Source organism: Homo sapiens, chromosome 4, assembly GCF_000001405.40.
Source record: "Homo sapiens chromosome 4, GRCh38.p14 Primary Assembly".
In the NCBI taxonomy this organism is placed as follows: Eukaryota; Metazoa; Chordata; class Mammalia; order Primates; family Hominidae; genus Homo; species Homo sapiens.
In genome coordinates, this window is record NC_000004.12 from 115,947,508 (window position 1) to 115,966,470 (window position 18,963).

At 34.1% G+C, this 18,963-nt stretch overlaps 1 annotated feature.

Moving 5' to 3' along the window:
• Window positions 8,687-8,936: an enhancer, noted in NCBI's record as "active region_21843". NCBI's record gives its function as "activates an Ori minimal core promoter by ATAC-STARR-seq in GM12878 lymphoblastoid cells {active_cell/tissue: GM12878}" and the evidence as "EXISTENCE:reporter gene assay evidence [ECO:0000049][PMID:35858748]".

Sequence of the window (18,963 nt, forward strand, 5' to 3'; positions counted from 1 at the left end):
AATAGTAAATATATATTTCATTAAAACAGAACAAGGATTAAAATTAATATTGGGAAGAAATCAAAAGAAATATTAAACAAGATATTCTAAAAGCTATGATGATTTTTTGCCCACTAAGATAGCCTCTGATTTAAGGATGTATGGACGGTTTTTAAAAGGTTATAGTACTTAATAATAGGTTTCAGGGATATGTAGTAGCATAAATTGTGATTTCTTAATATTTTGATATATTAAACTGAGAGGGTGTGAATTTATTTAATCATATAGTTTATTTTCCTCCAATAATAAACGTTGTATGGAAGGATTAAGGAGATGCTGGCCAAAGAATACAAACTTTCAGCTATACAGAAGAAATAAATTCAGAAAAATGTTGTACAATATGGTGACTATGGTTAATAACAATGTATTGTATATTTGAAAACTGCTAAAAGTATATTTTAAATATTTTCATCAGTTAAAATGTAATTGCTGTTCTGAATAGTGTCTTTGCTATTGTGAATAGTACTGCAATGAATGTGGGGGTTCATATATCTTTTTGGTAGACAGACTTGTTTTCTTTAGGATATATACCCAGTAATGGGATTGCTGAGTTGAATGTTCATTATAAGTACTTTGAGAAATCTCCAAACTGCTTTCCTTAGTGGCTGAACTAATTTACATTCCCACTAACAGTGTATGAGTGTTTCTCTTTCTCCCAAGCCTCACTAGCATCTGTTTTTTTATTTTTTTAATAATAACCATTATGATTCATGTGAGATGGTATCTCATTGTAGTTTTGATTTGCATTTCTCTGATGATTAGTTAGGTGGAGCATTTTTTCATATGTTTTTTGGGCTGCTTAAATGTCTTTTTTTGAGAAGTGTCTGTTCATATCTTTTGCACATTGTTTAATGAGATTATTCTGTTTTTGCTTGTTCAATTGTTAAGTTCCTTACAGATTCTAAATACTAAACCTTTCTTAAATGCATAGTTTGTGAATACTGTCTCCCATTATGTAGATCGTCTGCTTACTCTGTTGTTAGTTTCTTTTGCCAGACAGAATCTCTTTAGTTTAATTAGGTGCCACTTGTCAATACTTGTTTTTGTTGCAATTGCTTTTGAGGACTTAGCCATAAATTATTTTCCAAGTCTGATGTCCAGAATAGTATTTTCTATGTTTTCTTCTAGGTTTCTTATACTTTGAGTTGGTACATTTAACTCTCTAATCCATCTTGAGTTAATTTTTGCATATGGTGAGAAACACAGGTCCATTTTCATTCTGCATATGGCTAGCCAATTAGCCTAGCACCATTTATTGAATCATGACTCCCTTGCCCTATCGCTTATTTTTGTCGACTTTGTCAAAGACCAAATGGCTGTAGGTGTGTTGCTTTATTTCTGGGTTGTTTATTTTTTTTCCTTGGTCTAATATGTCTGTGTTTGTAGCAGTACCATGCTGATTTGGTTATGTACCCTTATAATAGAGTTTGAAGTCAGGAAATATGATACCTCTGGCTTTGTTCTTTTTGCTTAGAATTGCTTGGCTATTCAGAATCTTTTTTGGTTCCATAGGAATTTTAAAATACTTTTTCTAGTTCTGTGGAAAAATGTCATTTTGATAGGAATAGTGTTGTATCTGTAGATTCCTTTGGGCAGTATGGCCATTTTAACAATACTGATTCTTCCAATTCATTAGCATGGAATGCTTTTCCATAGGTTTGTATTGTTTATGATTTCTTTTGGCAGTGCTTTGTAGTTCTCCTTGTAGAGATCTTTTGTTCCTTAGTTAGATGTATTCCAAGATTTTTTTATATGTGGTTATTGTAAATGGCATTGTAGTCTTGATTTGGCTCTCAGCCTAAACATTATTTTTGTATAGAAATGCTACTGATTTTTATACATTGGTTTCATATCCTGAAGCTTTACTGAAGTCATTTATCCATTCCAGGAGCCTTTTGGCAGATTCTTTAGGTTTCTCTAAGTATAGGATCTTAACATCCATGAAGAGAGATAGTTTGACTTATTCTTTCCCTATTGGGATGCCATGTATTTATTTCCCTTGCCTGATTGCTCTGTCTAGGCCTTCCAGTACTATGTTGAATAGGAGTGGTGAGAGTAGGCATCCTTGTCTTGTTCAAGTTCTTCAGGGGTATGCTTCTAGTTTTTGCCCTTTTAGTATGATGTTTGTTATGGGTTTGTCATAGACAGGTCTTTTTGTTTTGAGTTATGTTCCTTTGAAGCCTAGTTTGTTGATGATTTTCATTAAGGAATGTTGGATTTTGTCTAACGCTTTTTCCACATCTATTGAGATAATCATATGATTTCTGTTTTTAATTGTTTATGTGGTGAATTACATTTATTGTTTTGTATATGTTGAATCACTCTTGCATCCCAGGAATGAAGTCTATTTGATCATGGTGAATTAACTTTTTAATATGCTATTTAATTCAGTTTGTTGATATTTTGAGGATTTTTGCATCTACGTTAATCAGGGACACTGGCCTGTAGTTTTCTTTTTTTGTGGTTGCTTTGCCAGGTTTGTGTATCAGGGTGATCGTGGCTTCATAAAATGAGTTGAAGAGTCCCTCATCAATTTTTTGGAATAGTTTTAGTAGTAGTGGTAACAGCTCTTCTTGTATATGTGGTAGAATTTGTTTATGAACTCATCTGGTCTGAGGCTTTTTTTTTTTTTTTTGGTTGCTAGTTTTGTTATTACTAATTCAATTTCAGACTTGATATTGATCTGTTCAGTGTTTCAATTTCTTCCTGATTCAGTCTTGAGATATTACATTTCCAGTAATTTACACATTTTCTTTAGATCTTCTGGTTTACCTCTAGAGATGTTCATAATCTCTAAGGTCATTTTGGATTTCTGTGGGATTGGTTGTAATGTTGAGGGAAGAGAGAGACCCTCTCATATTGTTTTATATTGTTTTATACTCAGTACCTGTTTTAAGAAAAAAACAAGGAAGTGAAATCAAAGACAAGCAGTCCAGCGCCAGGCCCAAAACCAGGCCTGGGCCTGCCTGGCCTAAACCTAGTAGTTAAAAACCAACTCATGACTTAGAACCCCATGTTACCCATAGATTTCAGGCATTGTATGGAAGAACATTGGGAAACTCCCTGCTCTGTTCTGTTTCACTCTGACTACCAGTGCATGAAACCCCTGTCACGTATCCCCTAGATTGCTCAATCAGTCACAACCCTTTCATGTAAAATCTTTAGTGTTGTGAGCCCTTAAAAGGGACAGAAATTGTGCACTCGGGGAGCTCGGATTTTAAGGCAGTAGCTTGCTGATTCTCCCAGCTGAATAAAGCCCTTCCTTCTACAACTCGGTGTCTGAGAGGTTTTGTCTGCGGCTAGTCCTGCTACATTTCTTGGTTCCCTGACTGGGAAACGAGGTAACTGACATATGGCCGAGGCAGCCCCTTAGGCAGCTTAGGCCTGCCCTGTGGAACATCCCTGCAGGGAACTCTGGCCAGCCTGAGTGACGTGATCCAAGGAGCGCTCCCAGGTAGAAAATTGCCCTGGTGGAACGCCTCACCAGAGCAGCGCATAGCAGGCCCCCCATGGAGGATTAACACAGTTGCTGAACACCAGGAAGGAAATGGCACTTAGAGTCCAGACATCTGAAACTTGATAAGACTAGTCTTTGGAACTTGCCCCACTCCATCTGAGTGGAAGCGTGGCCTGATCACCCACGGTGTGCCTGTATTGGCACTTTTGTTCTGGTTTTGACTTGGCCTGACTTGGTAAGTCTAGTCTTTGGAACTTGCCCCACTCCATCTGAGTGGAAGCGTGGCCTGATCACCCACCGTGTGCCTGCATTGGCACTTTTGTTCTGGTTTTGACTTGACTTGAATTGCTGGATACTTTGGTTTTGGTTTTGACTTGGCTTGAATTTTTTGGTTCTAGGATTTTGAATTTCATGATTTTGGTTTGGTATAAATGGTAAAAGTGTGTGTGTGCCCTCTTTACCCGTTCTTTGTCTTGTGGTGAGTGTGTGTAGTGTGAGTGTGGTATTTTGTCTTGAAAAAAAAAATGGGTCAGGTGCAAAGTAAGCCCACCCCACTGGGAACTATGTTAAAGAATTTCAAGAAAAGATTTAATAGAGACTATGGAGTTACTATGACACCAGGAAAACTTAGAACTTTGTGTGAAATAGACTGGGTAGCATTAGAGGTGGGTTGACCATCAGAAAGAAGCCTGGACAGGTCCCTTGTTTCAAAGGTATGGCACAAGGTAACCTGCAAGCCAAGGCACCCAGACCAGGTTCCATACATAGACAGTTACAGCTGGTTTTAGACCCCCTTCCGCACCACAGTAGTTAAGAGAACAGCAGCATAAGCGGCTGGCAGAGGCAAGGAAAGACCAGCAGAGAGAAAAAGAGGCCATCTGTACCAATTCTAAGTTAATTTAGACTAAACAAGGCCTTATTAATAGCAAAGGATAATTGAAATCCCAAACTTATAAGGTTTTCAACAAAAGTGAAGTTTGCTAAAAGTTAACAGTGTAACATGTATTATGGTAACTTCTAATCTTGTGGCCTTAGACAGTCTAGTCCAAAGACATAAAAAAAGTTCACTTTAAAAAAGGAGAAAAAGGGGGGAGGCAGAATTTATATAAAAAGAATCTTATATGGTAAATTCTTGTCCTGAAATAAATTAACTGGTTGTTTTAAGAAAAAATGTAGTAAGTCAAAAAGTTGAGACATGTTGAAAAATTGTTTGCAAAAGTCGTGAAAGAAAAAAATATTATAAAAAATTTTATGCAAAAAATGTTGTATAATTTAAAAATAATAAGGCCTCCTGAGTACTATTGAAGAAACAGTTTATGTGCAAGGTGTATAAAAAAAGTAAAATATACCTTTGGTAAAAAGATTATAAGGAAACATAAGAATGTGGATTTTTACTTACATTAAAAGGTTAAAAGAATTATTGTTTTAAAAGTTTAAGCAAGTTTTAAAACATTAATTGTAAAGAAAATTCCATGTGTAAACATATTAGCTAAAGTTAAAAAGGTATCATCCAGTTTTTCTGTGAACTGGACATTAAAGTAAAAATGCAACAGATTTTTCTTAAAGCATCAACCTGCTCTTTAACAAAAAGTATAAAAGGTTAAAAAGAGTCTATAAAATCTTAACTTATAGTCAAACATGAAAAATTCAATAAATATGTCTACAAGGTTTTATTAAAATTAAGTTTAACATTAATAACACACTAATATAAAGGTAAAATTTAGTTTATCTGGTATAAAAATCATACAAGCAATATTATTAAATATAAAATGGTGTTTAGCTTTCTTTGATCTAAAAACTAATAAAAATAGGTGCTAAAGGAAACATTCATTTTACTGAGGATCATAAAGGTTAAAGACTTAAAACAAACTTTGGCAATTAAGACAGCATACCAAGATGCAAATGCCTGGTTGAAATGGATTAAATATTCCATCTGCACGTTAAACAAAAGCAATTGTTATGCTTGTGCACATGGCAGGCCAGGGGCCCTGATTGTCTCCCTTCTACTAAGGTGGTCCTCCAGTCGACCAGGCATGGGCTGCATGGTAGCTCTTTTCCAGGATTCTACAGCCTGGAGTAGTAAGTCATGCCAAGCTCTCTCTGCTATATCCTGAAGTCCCTGCAGGTCAGTCCCCGAGGGCTATCCAGCTTCTGTCTCTCAACACTAAGTTCACTTTGTGTCTCTCACGTCAGGGAGGAGACTTAGCACTCCTTGGAGACCTGAAAGTATGCAGTAAGCTTAAGAATTTTCAAGAGCTTATCAATCAGTCAGCCCTTGCTCATCCCCGAGCAGATGTGTGGTGGTATTGTGGTGGACCTTTACTGGGCACTCTGCTGAATAACTGGAGTGGCACTTGTGCTGTAGTCCATTTGGCTATCCCTTTCACCCTGGCATTTCATCAACCAGGAAAAAAAAAATGGCAGTTGGAGTTTTAACCCAGACTGTAGGGCCCTGGCCAAGGCCAGTGGCCTATCTCTCAAAACAACTAGACAGGGTTTCCAAAGGCTGGCCCCCATGTCCAAGGGCCCTGGCAGCAATGGCCCTGTTAGCACAAGAAGCAGATAAGCTAACTCTTAGGCAAAACCTAAACATAAAGTCCCCCCATGCTGTGGTGACTTTAATAAATACCAAAGGACATCATTAGCTAATAAATGCTAGACTAACTAGATACCAAAGCTTGCTCTGTGAAAATCCCCGCGTAACCTTTGAAGTTTGCAACACCCTAACCCCGCCACCTCACTCCTGGTATCAGAGAGCCCAGTTAAACATAACTGTTTAGAGGTGTTGGACTCAGTTTATTCTAGTAGGCCCAACCTCTGAGACCACCCTTAGATGGTAGACTGGGAGCTGTATGTGGATGGCAGCAGCTTCGCCAACCCCTGCAAAGTGATCTGAAGAAGATGGCAAACACTGCTCCGGTCACACCCAGAAGCTGACTGGTCCACGCATGGCTGAAGCATGAGGAAACTCATCGCGGGACTCATTTTCCTTAAAATTTGGACTTGTTCAGTAAGGACTTCAACTGACCTTCCTCAGACTGAGGGCTATTCCCAGTATATACATCAAGTCACTGAGGTAGGACAAAAGATTGCTACAGTCCTATTATTTTATAGTTATTATGAATGCCTAGGAACTCCAAAAGGAAACTGTTTGTATAATAACACTCAGTACAAAGTATGTAATCCAGGAAGTGACCAGCCCAATGTGTGCTATGACCCCTCTGAACCTCCCATGATCACAGTCGTTGAAGTAAGACTAAGGACTGGTCCTTTTCTAGGTGACACAAGTAAAGTAATAGCTGGAAGAGAAAAAAGAGGGGTCCCCAAACATGTAACCTTAAAATTTGATGCTTGTGCTGCTATTCATAGTAATCAGCAAGGAATAGAGTGCAGTTCTCTAGATTGGAAAAAAGTTACACAGTAAAAAATAAGTATACCTGTCAAGAATCATATTTATGTGAGATGTGTCAATACTGGTCTTGTGTTATTTGGACTACTCAGAAAAAAGATAAAAAAAGATCCTCTTTGGCTCCGGAAAGGAAAAGACAGCCCCTCCTGTATGAGTGGGAGCTGCAACCCTTTACAATTGGTAATCACAAACCCCTCAGACCCAAAATGAAATAAAGAAAAATACGTATCATTGGGCATTGATGGAAAAGGACTAAATCTTAGCGTAAACATCTTAATAAAAGGGGAGGTTCAAAGATGCTCTCCAGAACCAGCATTTCAGACTTTCTATGATAAACTATATGTGCCAGTACCAGAGACTCCAGGAAAAAACAGAAATTTGTTTTTGCAATTAGCCGAGCATGTAGCCCAGTCTCTAACTGTCACTTCATGTTATGTTTGTGGAAAAACTGTAATAAGAGATCAATGGCCATAAGAAGCCTGAGAATTAGTGCCTACAGACCCAGTTCCTGATGAATTCCCGGCCCAAAAGAATCACCCTGATCATCTTAGTTTCTAAAAGTCTCAATTATTGAACAATATTGCATAGCTAAAAAAAGAAAAGAATTCACTCGTTCTGTAGGATGACTTAGTTGTCTGGGGCAAAAACTATATAATGGTACTGCAAAAAAACAATTACATGGTGGAGTTCCAATTACACAGAAAGAGATCCATTCAGTAAATTTCCAACATTGCAGACTGTCTGGGCCCACCCAGAATTCCACTGGGACTGGACTGCCCCCACCGGGTTATACTGGATATGTAGACATAGAGCCTACACAAAGCTGCCTGACCAGTGGACATTTAGTTGTGTTGTTGGCACTATTAAGCCATCTTTCTTCCTACTGCCCATAAAAACAGGCAAACTCCTGGGTTTCCCTGTCTATGCTTCCCGTGGAAAACGAAGCATAGCCATAGCTAATTGGAAAAATGATGAATGACCCCCTAAAAAAATTATACGTTACTATAGGCCTGCCACTTAGACACAAGACGGATCATGGGGATACTGGACCCCCATTTACATGCTCAACCGAATGATACGGTTGCAAGCTCTTTTAAAAATCATCACTAATAAAACCAGTCAAGCCTTGACTATTCTGGCCTGGCAAAAAAAAAAAAAAACTCAGATAAGAAATGCTATCTATCAAAATAGATTGGCTCTCCACTACTTACTAGCAGCTAAAAGAAAAGTCTATAAGAAATTTAACCTTACTAATTATTGTCTACACATGGATAATCAAAGGCAAGTAGTTAAAGACATAGTTAAAAATATGACAAAACTGGCACATGTGCCAGTACAAGTGTAGCATGGATTCAACCCTGAAGCCATGTTAGAAGATGGTTTCCAGCACTAGGAAGATTTAAAATTCTTATAATAAAAGTTATAATAGTAATAAAAACCTGCTTACTGCTCCCTTGTTTGCTACCTGTACTTCTTCAAATGATAAAAGGCTTCATCACTACCTTAGTTCACCAAAATGCTTCAGTGCAAGTGTACTATATAAATCACTATCAATCTATTGCACAAAAAGATATAAGTAGCAAAAATAAAAGTGAGAACTCTCTCTAATAAAAAGTGAGAGTCTCAAAGGGGGAAAATGAGGGAAGAGAAAGACTCTCTCATATTGTTTTATATTGTTTTATGCTCAGTACCTGTTTTAAGAAAAAAATAAGGAAGTGAAATCAAAGACAAGCAGCCCGGTTCCAGGCCCAAAACCAGGCCTGGGCCTGCCTGGCCTAAACCTAGTAGTTAAAAATCAACTCATGACTTAGAACCCCATGTTACCCATAGATTTCAGGCATTGTATGGAAGAACATTGGGAAACTCCCTGCTCTGTTCTGTTTCACTCTGACTACCAGTGCATGAAACCCCTGTCACGTATCCCCTAGATTGCTCAGTCACAACCCTTTCATGTAAAATCTTTAGTGTTGTGAGCCCTTAAAAGGGACAGAAATTGTGCACTCGGGGAGCTCGGATTTTAAGGCAGTAGCTTGCTGATGCTCCCAGCTGAATAAAGCCCTTCCTTCTACAACTCGGTGTCTGAGAGGTTTTGTCTGGGGCTTGTCCTGCTACAATGTCACCTTTGCCATTACTGATTGTGCTTAGTTGCATCTTCTCTCGTTTGATAATCTAGCTGGCAGTCTGTTGATCTTGTTTATCCTTTCAAAGTGCCAACTTTTGGTTTCATTAATCTTTGGTATGAATATATGTGTCTCAATTTTGTTCAACTCTGCTCTGAATATAGTTATTTCTTTCCTTCTGCTAACTTTGGTATTAGTTTGTTTTTGTTTTTCTAGTTCCTCTAGGTTTCAGGTTAGATCATTGATTTGGTATATTTCTATCTTTTTGATGTAGGCATTTAGTGCTATAAACTTTGCTCCTAACACTGCTTTTGCTACATCCTTGAGATTTTGATATATTGTATCTGTGTTTTTATTTATTTATTTATTTTAATTTCTGCCCTACTCTCTTTGTTTACCCAAAAGTTATTCAGGAGCAATTTGTTTAATTTCCATTTATTGATGTGGTTTGAGGGTTCTTCTTGGTACTAATTTCTATTTTTATTCCACTGAAGTCTGAGAGTATGGTTGGTATCATTTCAGTGTTTTTGAATTTATTGAGACTTGCTTTATGGGCAAGCATGTGGTAGATAACAGAGTATGTTCTATGTGCAGATGAGAAGAATGTATATTCTGTGGTTGATGGGCACAGTATTCTGTAGCTGCATATTAAGTCCAATTGGTCAAGTGTTCAGTTTAAGTCTAGAATTTGTTAGTTTTCTGCCCTGATGATCTGTCTAATGTTGTAAGTGGGTTGTTGAAGACCTGCATTATTATTATGCAGCTATCTATTTCATTTCTTAGGTCTAGTTGTGCTTATTTTATGAATGATGGTGCTCCGTTGTTGGATGCATATATATTTAAGATAGTTAAGTCTTCCTATTGAATTGAACTCTTTATCATTATGTAATGACCCTCTTTGTCTCTGGTTACTGCTGTTGGTTTAAAGTATGTTTCATCTGATATCAGAATAGTGACTCTGGCCCTTTATTGCTTTCTGTTTGCATAATAGATATTTCTCCAACCTTTTATTTGAGCCTATGGGTGTCATTGCATGTAAGATGGAGCTCTTGGAGATAAGGACAGCTGGGTCCTGTTGTTTATCCAACTTGCGACTCAGTGCCTTTTAACTGGGGGCATTTCAATCATTACCATTCAAGGTTAACATTGATATTTGAGGTTTTGATCCTATTGTGAAATTGTTAACTTGTTACTTTGTCATCTCTATTGTTTGTCTGCCTTACAAGGTGTGTGGGCTATGTATTTAAGGGTATTTTTCTGGGAGCAAGTATTATTCTTTTTTCCTCATGTTTACAATTCCCTTGAGGGTCTCTTGTAAGGCTAGTATAGTGGCAAAAAGTTCCCTAGTGCTTGCTTCTATGGAAAATCTGTTATTTCTCCTTTGCTTATGAAGCTTAGTTTGGTGGCATATAGAATATTTTTGGAATTTCTTTTAAGGATGCTAAAAATAGGCCCCTAATCTCTTCTTGCTTCAGGTTTTTTAAAAAACCTGAAGTCACATACAGTATTCTGTAGTTTGTAGAATTTTCTTTCTTAACAAGTATAAGTTTATGTACTTACATACCCATTTTTGAAGACATGTATTTAACAAACATTTTAAATGCATTTAAAAACAATGTATGTAACAAAATACATACCAATTAAATTTTAAATAGAAATTCTGAAATGGAGGTGAGAAATTCAATTCTATTTTTTCAAAAATAATTTATGCTTATACAAATCATTTAAAATATATTGTGTATATACTGAATTCAGTCAGCTACACAAATTATTGGTTAAACCTGATGTATGTTGTTCTTTTGTTAATAAGTCATTTTCTAATGAATATTCTATACCCAAGTTTCAAATGAAATCCCACTCTCCTACTCTACTGTTTGTTTTTTAATATTATAAATATTTGAAGAAATATGTTCATATTCTTGTGATGAAGTCAGAAGAATTTTTTTACTGAAACCTGGGTTATTCAAAAAATAATTTATTTCTATACTATATCATTTTATACTTAGTGAATTTATTTAGGAAACATATACATTGTATCATATTTTTAATAGTTGAACTTCAGTAAGGAGCTATTTTTTTCACTATAGAATATTTTTTTAAAAATCTGAAGTATGCTGTTTGCGATATCTTGTCTATGTCAATACTCTAGGAATCACTTTACATAGTTTAGTATAAATTAGTTAAGCTAACTTCCCTTCACTTTTTTTTTTTTTTGTTTTTACACCTTTTGTGACGAAATTAAAAACGTTCCTTCAAAAGAGTTCCTTTTTCTTATATAGCAAAGATAGAAATCCTTGTCCTTCCTGGTGCAAAAGGAAAGGGGAGAGTAGATAAATGTATATTACATTTATGTGAGGGAAAAATAGATGCTTTATGGGAGACACAAAATAAAGCAAGTGATTTCTGTCTTTGTAGATTATAAATCAAACTGTAACTAATGATTGAAAAACATGTTGTCATTAAAAATTTCATAAATGTTTTCTGAAACTACTGTTTTTCTCTGTCATACAGTCTATGCCAAACATCACGATTGCCAATGCTTTTTTTCAAATAGATGGGTGTTTCCTGTTTACTTTCCACTTAACTGATCTATGAAGGCTTATACTGGAAGTATTCAGTTTATTCACCTACGAAATTAATTTTGCTGCTGCAAATAAATTTGCTTAGTTTAAAATCATCATGGGATATATCAAGATTAACTTTATTGCCTAAGATTTGAAAAAATATAATCATATCTTTTTTTATTTTTTATTTTTTATTTTTATTTTTTTTTTTGAGATGGAGTCTCGCTATTTCACCCAGGCTGCAGTGCAGTGGTGCGATCTCGGCTCACCGCAACCTTCACCTCCTGAGTTCAAGCAATTCTCCTGCCTCAGCCTCCTAAGTAGCTAGGATTACAGGCACGCGCCACCACGCCTAGCTAATTTTTTTGTATTTTTAATAGAGATGGAGTTTCACAATGTTGGCCAGGCTGGTCTTGAACACCTGACCTCGTGATCCACCCACCTCAGTCTCCCAAAATAATGGGATTACAGGCTTGAGCTACCACATGTGGTCAATTATATCTTAATAAAACAACAGACTGATCATCTTAACATTGTAAAAAAAGACACATTTATTGATTTACTTTACATTTTACAGACTAAACAAAATTTTGTGTAAATATGTTCTTTATTTTAAAATCACTACTGCCAAAATATTAAAATATGAAGGCTCATAAAAAGATCATGACTTTAATATTTCAGCATATATAAATGAATTGATTGTATCAATTTTATATAAAAATGTTTATTACCAAAACAAGTATGGTAAATCATACTTGTTTTATACTTTATTATATTACATCATTCAATATTCTTCAATCACACTATAATAATTCAGAATTTAGTTGTGTACATTTTAAAAGTTTTACTTTTTTAAAATGTGGCTATACTTTTAAGTTTTAAAGCAGGCTATTTGAAAGTGAAAGACAACTTGAATATTATTTATTCTCCCTGTAGAAAAGAAAGTCATAATTAGCCAGGCATGGTGGCACCTGCCTGTAATCCCAGCTACTCGGGAGGGTGAGGCAGGAGAATTGCTTGAACCTGGGAAGTGGAGGTTGTGGTGAGCCGAAATCACACCACTGCACTCCAGCCTGGGCAACAAGAGCAAAACTCTGTCTCAAAAAAAAAAAGAAAAGAAAAGAAAAGAAAGTCATGATCCTGTCATTTGGTTGTATTACCTAAATGTTTTCAAAACATAATAACCTCTATACATCAATATTATCTTTATAAATAAAATTCTCCAAGCAATCTAAATATTGGACAAATTCAAAGTTTAGCAATTGAATTATTTAGGCAAAATAGTTATTAAAATAAAATAGCATGAATCATAGAAATAGTTTAAGGTATATATGGATATTAATATCTTTCAATGTTCAAAAACAAATGTCCTTAATACTTTGTAAATTGGGTATCAACACCTTCATTTAAAAGAAATTTATATAATTATACATGTTTTCCCACAAAATGGTACATAATGTTTGCTTGTAAGCTGTATTTATAAAATACACATATTTTACTAGATCAAGTATAACCCAACCCATTTTAACAGGATAAAAAGTTTTGATACAAAGGTAACAATAGGAATGATATGTTCAATCTATTTACTCTTTCCTATGCTCATAAACTAAACTCCTCTAATAATTTATAATATGGGAAGTTTCAAATGTTTTGAATCTTCAGTTCATCAATCTTAGTTTTAAATGTCTGTTGAAATCTGCTAGAAAAAAATAGATTACATAATTCTAGATTATTTAGGATTAATGAAAGGATTTTTTTTCCCTCGAGTCTCAAAACTGTTTTAATATTAATACAGTCAAAATTTAAATGCAATTTTAAGTAGGAAGACCACAAAATTAACTGAACACCTTAAACATAAAATTTAATATCAAAGTATTTATGGCTAGATAGGGACATATATTATTACACTTCATTTTATTCTAATGAAATATAAGCTAAAATTATTTTAACAGTGTATCATAGTTAACACAGTAAAATAGTCTTCATCTCTAACCTCCCAAGAATTTTCCAAATGGAGTAATAGAAAATAAAATATATAGCAGGAGGGAGTTTAGCTCGAAGGTAGAGCATTGGACTGCAGATCAAGAAAATAAAACATATAGTGTAGATATTAACCAATGTCATATTACCAACTTTGCTGTCAAAGACAATGTTTTTGTAATTATCTGGAAAAATATATACAATATTGTCATGTATTTTAGTGTTTGGAACTTCATGAGTTATATTCTTTCACCCGACACATATTTCAGTCTTACTATATATTTTATCAATAGAATAAATTAGAGAAAATCTAAGATTCTCACTTCATGAATCTTACAATATAATATTGATACAACTGTAAGTAAAATAGTTATACAAGTGAGTGCATTTTACTAATTTTTACAACTGTTTTTAAAGGAAGGTACTGATATCGGCAGAGGTTATAACTAGAGAAATTAACTGACCTGTGGGGTGTCAAATAAGGATTTATGAAGATATGATGAAAATCAAACCCAGCAATAAATAAGAACCATAATATGACATGGCCAAGCAGTGTTACATCAGGAATTCAAGATTGATTTTTCATACGAAAACTGATCAATGCAATTCTACATATTAAGAGATTATAAAAAAGTATTTGGCACAACTGAAAACTTATTCATGCTGAAAACTCAGAAAGTTATAAATAAAATTGAACTTCAAGCTAATAAAAGATATGCATCAAATATTTAAAATTAATATTGTATTTATTAGTAACAGATTGAATGCTATCTCTATGAATTCAAGAAAAGTAAAAAGGTCCACTCTCACCACTGCTCTTTGTTATTACAAAAAAATCCTACGCAGGGCAGTAATGCAAAAAAAAGTAGCATATATTTCCAATTTTGCAGATATAGTAAACTTGTGCAAAATTGGAATTAAACAATCTTTTAAACTATGTTTATAAGCAAAAATATGATTATTCTGTAAATCCCATTCAACAAAAATGCTGTGAGAAAAAAGAAAATTTAACAAGATTTTAGAATACCATGCCAATATTGAAAAAAACTACACTTTTATACTATAAACAAATGATTGGGAATTCAAATTCAAAACGATAAATTTTCAATTTACCATAGGATGCAAAAGTATGAAATGATTAAAGATATATAAAATAAAACACGCAGATGATCTTTACAATGAGAAGTCCAAATGTCAGAAAGAGAAATTAAGACATAGCTATGAAATATTTATATATTGAAAATATCAATATTGTTAAATTTAAATTATCTTAAAATTATTCTATCAATTTAATACAATTACAATAAAAATTCCAGTTGACTAATTCTTGGTGAAATTAACACACTCTTTACAAACTTTATATTTGAATGCACACGTCATAGAATAGCCAATTTAAAAAAAAATAGAGAAAATATGGAGGACTTCCCTTACATGATTTATTTTGAATATTTCTGTAAATCTAAAATGATCAAAACAGTGTAGTAGTAGTATTAGTATAAAGAGAGATAGGTTAATGAAGCAAAATAGACTATCTCAAAAATACCTGAATATATGTGGCCAGTTGATTTATGAAAAAAGGTGTTAAGGAAATTTAATGGAAAAGAAATCATTTTTAAAGAGTTTAAAGTGCACTGAATCTGTAGATTGCTTTGGGCAGAATTGTCATTTTAACGTATTGATTCATCTAATCAATGAACATCAGCGTTTTTTTTTCTTTTTCATTTGTTTGTGTCACGTATGACGTCTTTCATTAGTGTATTCCAGATATCTTTCACTTCTTTGGTTGAATATACACTTAACGATTTCAATTTCTTTAACTTTTCCCTGTTCAGTATGATGTTGGCTGTGGATTAGTTATATACAGCTTTTGTTATTTTGAGGTATATTCTTTCAATGCATAGTTTGTTAAGGGTTTTTATCATGAACGGATGCTGATTTTTATTGAAGGCTTTTTCTGCATCTATTGAGATAATCTCATTTTAAAAATCTGCTTATATGGTGAATTACGTTGTTTATTTGCATATGTCGAACCATTCTTGCATTCTTTGGATAAAACCTACTTGATCATGGTGTATCATATTTGTGACGTGTTGTTAGAATTGGTTTGCTAGTCTTTTGTTAAGAATTTTTTTCATCTATGTTCACCAGGGCTATTGGCCTGTACTTTAGCTTTTGTTGTTGTGTCCTTGCCTGGCTTTGGTATCAGGGTGATACTGATTTTGTAGAATCAGGGAGGATTCTCTCCTCTTTGAGTTTTTGGAATAGTTTCAGTAGAATTGGTACCAGCTCTTCTTTGTATATCTGGTAGAATTCAGCTGTGAATCCATCTAATCCTGGGCATATTTTTTGGAAGAATTATTATTATTGATTCAATTTCACTGCTTATTGATTTTTCAGGAATCCTATTTCTTCCTGGCTCAGTATTAGAAGGTTGTATGTTTCCAGGAATTTATCTATTTCCTCTAGGTTTTTAAACTTATGCATGTAGAAATGCTCATAGTAGTCTCTGATGAACTTTTGTATTTCTGTGGTATCAGTTGTAATGTCACCTTCATTTCTGATTGTGCTTATCTTAGTCTGCTGTCTTATTTTCTTGGTTATTCTAGCACGTAGTGTATCAATTTTGTTTATATTTTCAAATAACCAACTTTTTCTTTCATTGATCCTCTGACTTGTTTTATTGCTATCAAATTGATTTAGCTCTTCTCTGATCTTTTTTATTTTTTTTTCTTCTCCTACCTTTGGGTTTTGTTTGTTCTTGGTTTTTCTAGTCCTGGAAGTGCAACATTAAGTTGTTAATTTGTGCTTTTTCTATCTTTTTGATATAGTCATTTAATGCTATAAATTTCCCTCTCAGCACTGCTTTTGCTCTATTCCAGAGGTTTTTGATGTTGGGTCTCTACTTTCATTTGTTTCAAAAAGTTTTTAAATCTCTCTCTTTATTCTATCAGTGATCCAAAGATCATTCAGTCATATGTTCTTCAATTTCCATGCATTTATATGGTTATGAGACTTCCTCTTGTTATTTGTTTCCAGTTTTATTCCACTGTGGTATGAGAAGATACTTGGTATGATTTTAATTTTTGAAATTTATTGAGACTTGTTTTGTCACCTAGAATATGGTCTTTTTGGAGACTGTTCCATGCCCAGATAAGAAGAATGTATATTCTGCGGTTGTTGAGTAGAATGTTTTGTAAATGTCTGTTAGGTTCACTTGTTCTAGAGTTCAATTTAATTCCAGTGTTTCTTTGCTAATTTTCTGCCTTGATGATCTGTCTAGTGCTGTGAGTTGGGCTATTATTATATTGCTGTCTATCCCTTTTCTCAGGTCTAGTACTATTTGTTTTATGAATCTTAGTACTCCAATGTTGGATGCATGTATATTTAGTATTATCTTCTTGTTGAGTTGATCTGTTTATCTTTATATAATGACCATCTACTGGAGGCCATTATCTTAAGTGAAGTAACTCAGAAAAAAGAAAGATAAATATTGAATATTCTCACTTATAAGTGGGAGCCAAACAATGGATACATATGGACATACAGAGTGGAATAATAGACATTGGAGAATAACAGACATTGAAGACGCCAAAGTGTGGGAGAATGGTAGAGAGGTGAGTGATGAGAAATTACCTATAGAGTACAATTTACATTGATCACATAATAATTACACTAAAAACCCAGTCTTCACCAATAAGCAATATATCTACATAACAAAAATGCACTTGAACTCCCTAAATCTATTTTTACAAGGGTTTGAAAAGATGACAAAAACAAAATTCAATCATTTTCTTATGCTACTTATGAACTAAAAATTAGATATAAAAACTAAAACTTCTCTAGGCCATCATAGGACACAGTAATTATAACTTTAACAGTGGTCATAAGATATTTTAATTAGAACAAAAATATGGAAACAATTTTAAAAATTGATAAATTGTACTTCTTTAAAATTAAAATATTTGTTCTTCAGAGACACAGTTAAGAACATGAAAGAGCCGGGCATGGTGGCTCATGCCTGTAATCCCAGCACTTTGGGAGGCCGAGGCAGGCAGATCACGAGGTAAGGAGATCAAGACCATCCTGGCTAACACGGTGAAACCCTGTCTCTACTAAAAATACAAAAAATTAGCCATGCGTGGTGGCACCTGCCTGTAGTACTAGCTACTCAGGAGGCTGAGGCAGGAGAATCACTTGAACCTGGGAGGTGGAGGTTGCAGTGAGCTGAGATCGTGCCACTGCACTCCAGCCTGGGCGACAGAGAGAGACTCCGTCTCAAAAAAAAAAAAGAACATGAAAGAATCACAAAATGACTGAGAAGACATGCACATTACGGTTAGATGATGGGCTTGCTTCCTAAATATACAAAATATATTTAAAATTTCATAATTGGAAATAAAAAACTCAATGAAAACTCAATAAAATTGATTAAAATATTTACACCAGACATTTCACAAAAGAAGACAAAGAAATGGTCAATAAAAAAAGTTCAGCATCATGATTTATATGGTAAATGCAAATTAAAACACAATAAAATGGCCACCGTATACCCAATAGAATTGTTAAAATGAGAAAGACTGACATTACCAAAAGTTGGCGAGGATATAGCGTAACTGGAAGTTTTATATATTCCTTGATGAATGCAAATGATTCCATTCTTTGGAAACAGTTTGTCTATTGTTTAAAAAGTTAAAATTGGACTTACATCTGAATCAGCAATTTCACTATCATGTTATTTCCTACAAAATATAAAAATCCACAAAATTATATGCAAATATTTACAATGCTATTAAAACATTGCAAACATAAGAAGTAAATGTATGTTAACAGTCAAATGGACAAATTGTAAAAAATCACCTAATGGAATACTACTCAACAATGAAGATAAGTAAATTAAGATATTCATATGTTATATAGTTTACCAATACAATTTAACATCAAAATATGCTAGACTCAGATGTTTTATTATTACATTTATATAAAATATTAACAATTCAAAATCTCATCTATTATGACAGAAGACAGATCTGTGATTGCCCTGAGACCATGAATAAGATGTGCTTTGCTGAGAAGGGGCACAATAGAACCTTTTACAGGTAGAAATGTCACATATTTTGATTGTGGTGGTAGTGCAGAGGTAAACAAATTAATAAACATTATTAAACTGTGGACCATAGATTAATATTTTATTGCATTTTAACTATTCTTTAGAAAGTTGAAAAAAGACAAAAAATGTAATAAAGGTTAATTTACAGAATTAATTAAAATGGAGTATAGAGATAACTGGATTTCATTCTTTCAGCAATACAAAAGCCAGTTATTCTACATTGTACTTTAATGGCTAGAGGACAGAAATACATATTACTAATTTCTTATGTTTCCATTTTGTGCAAT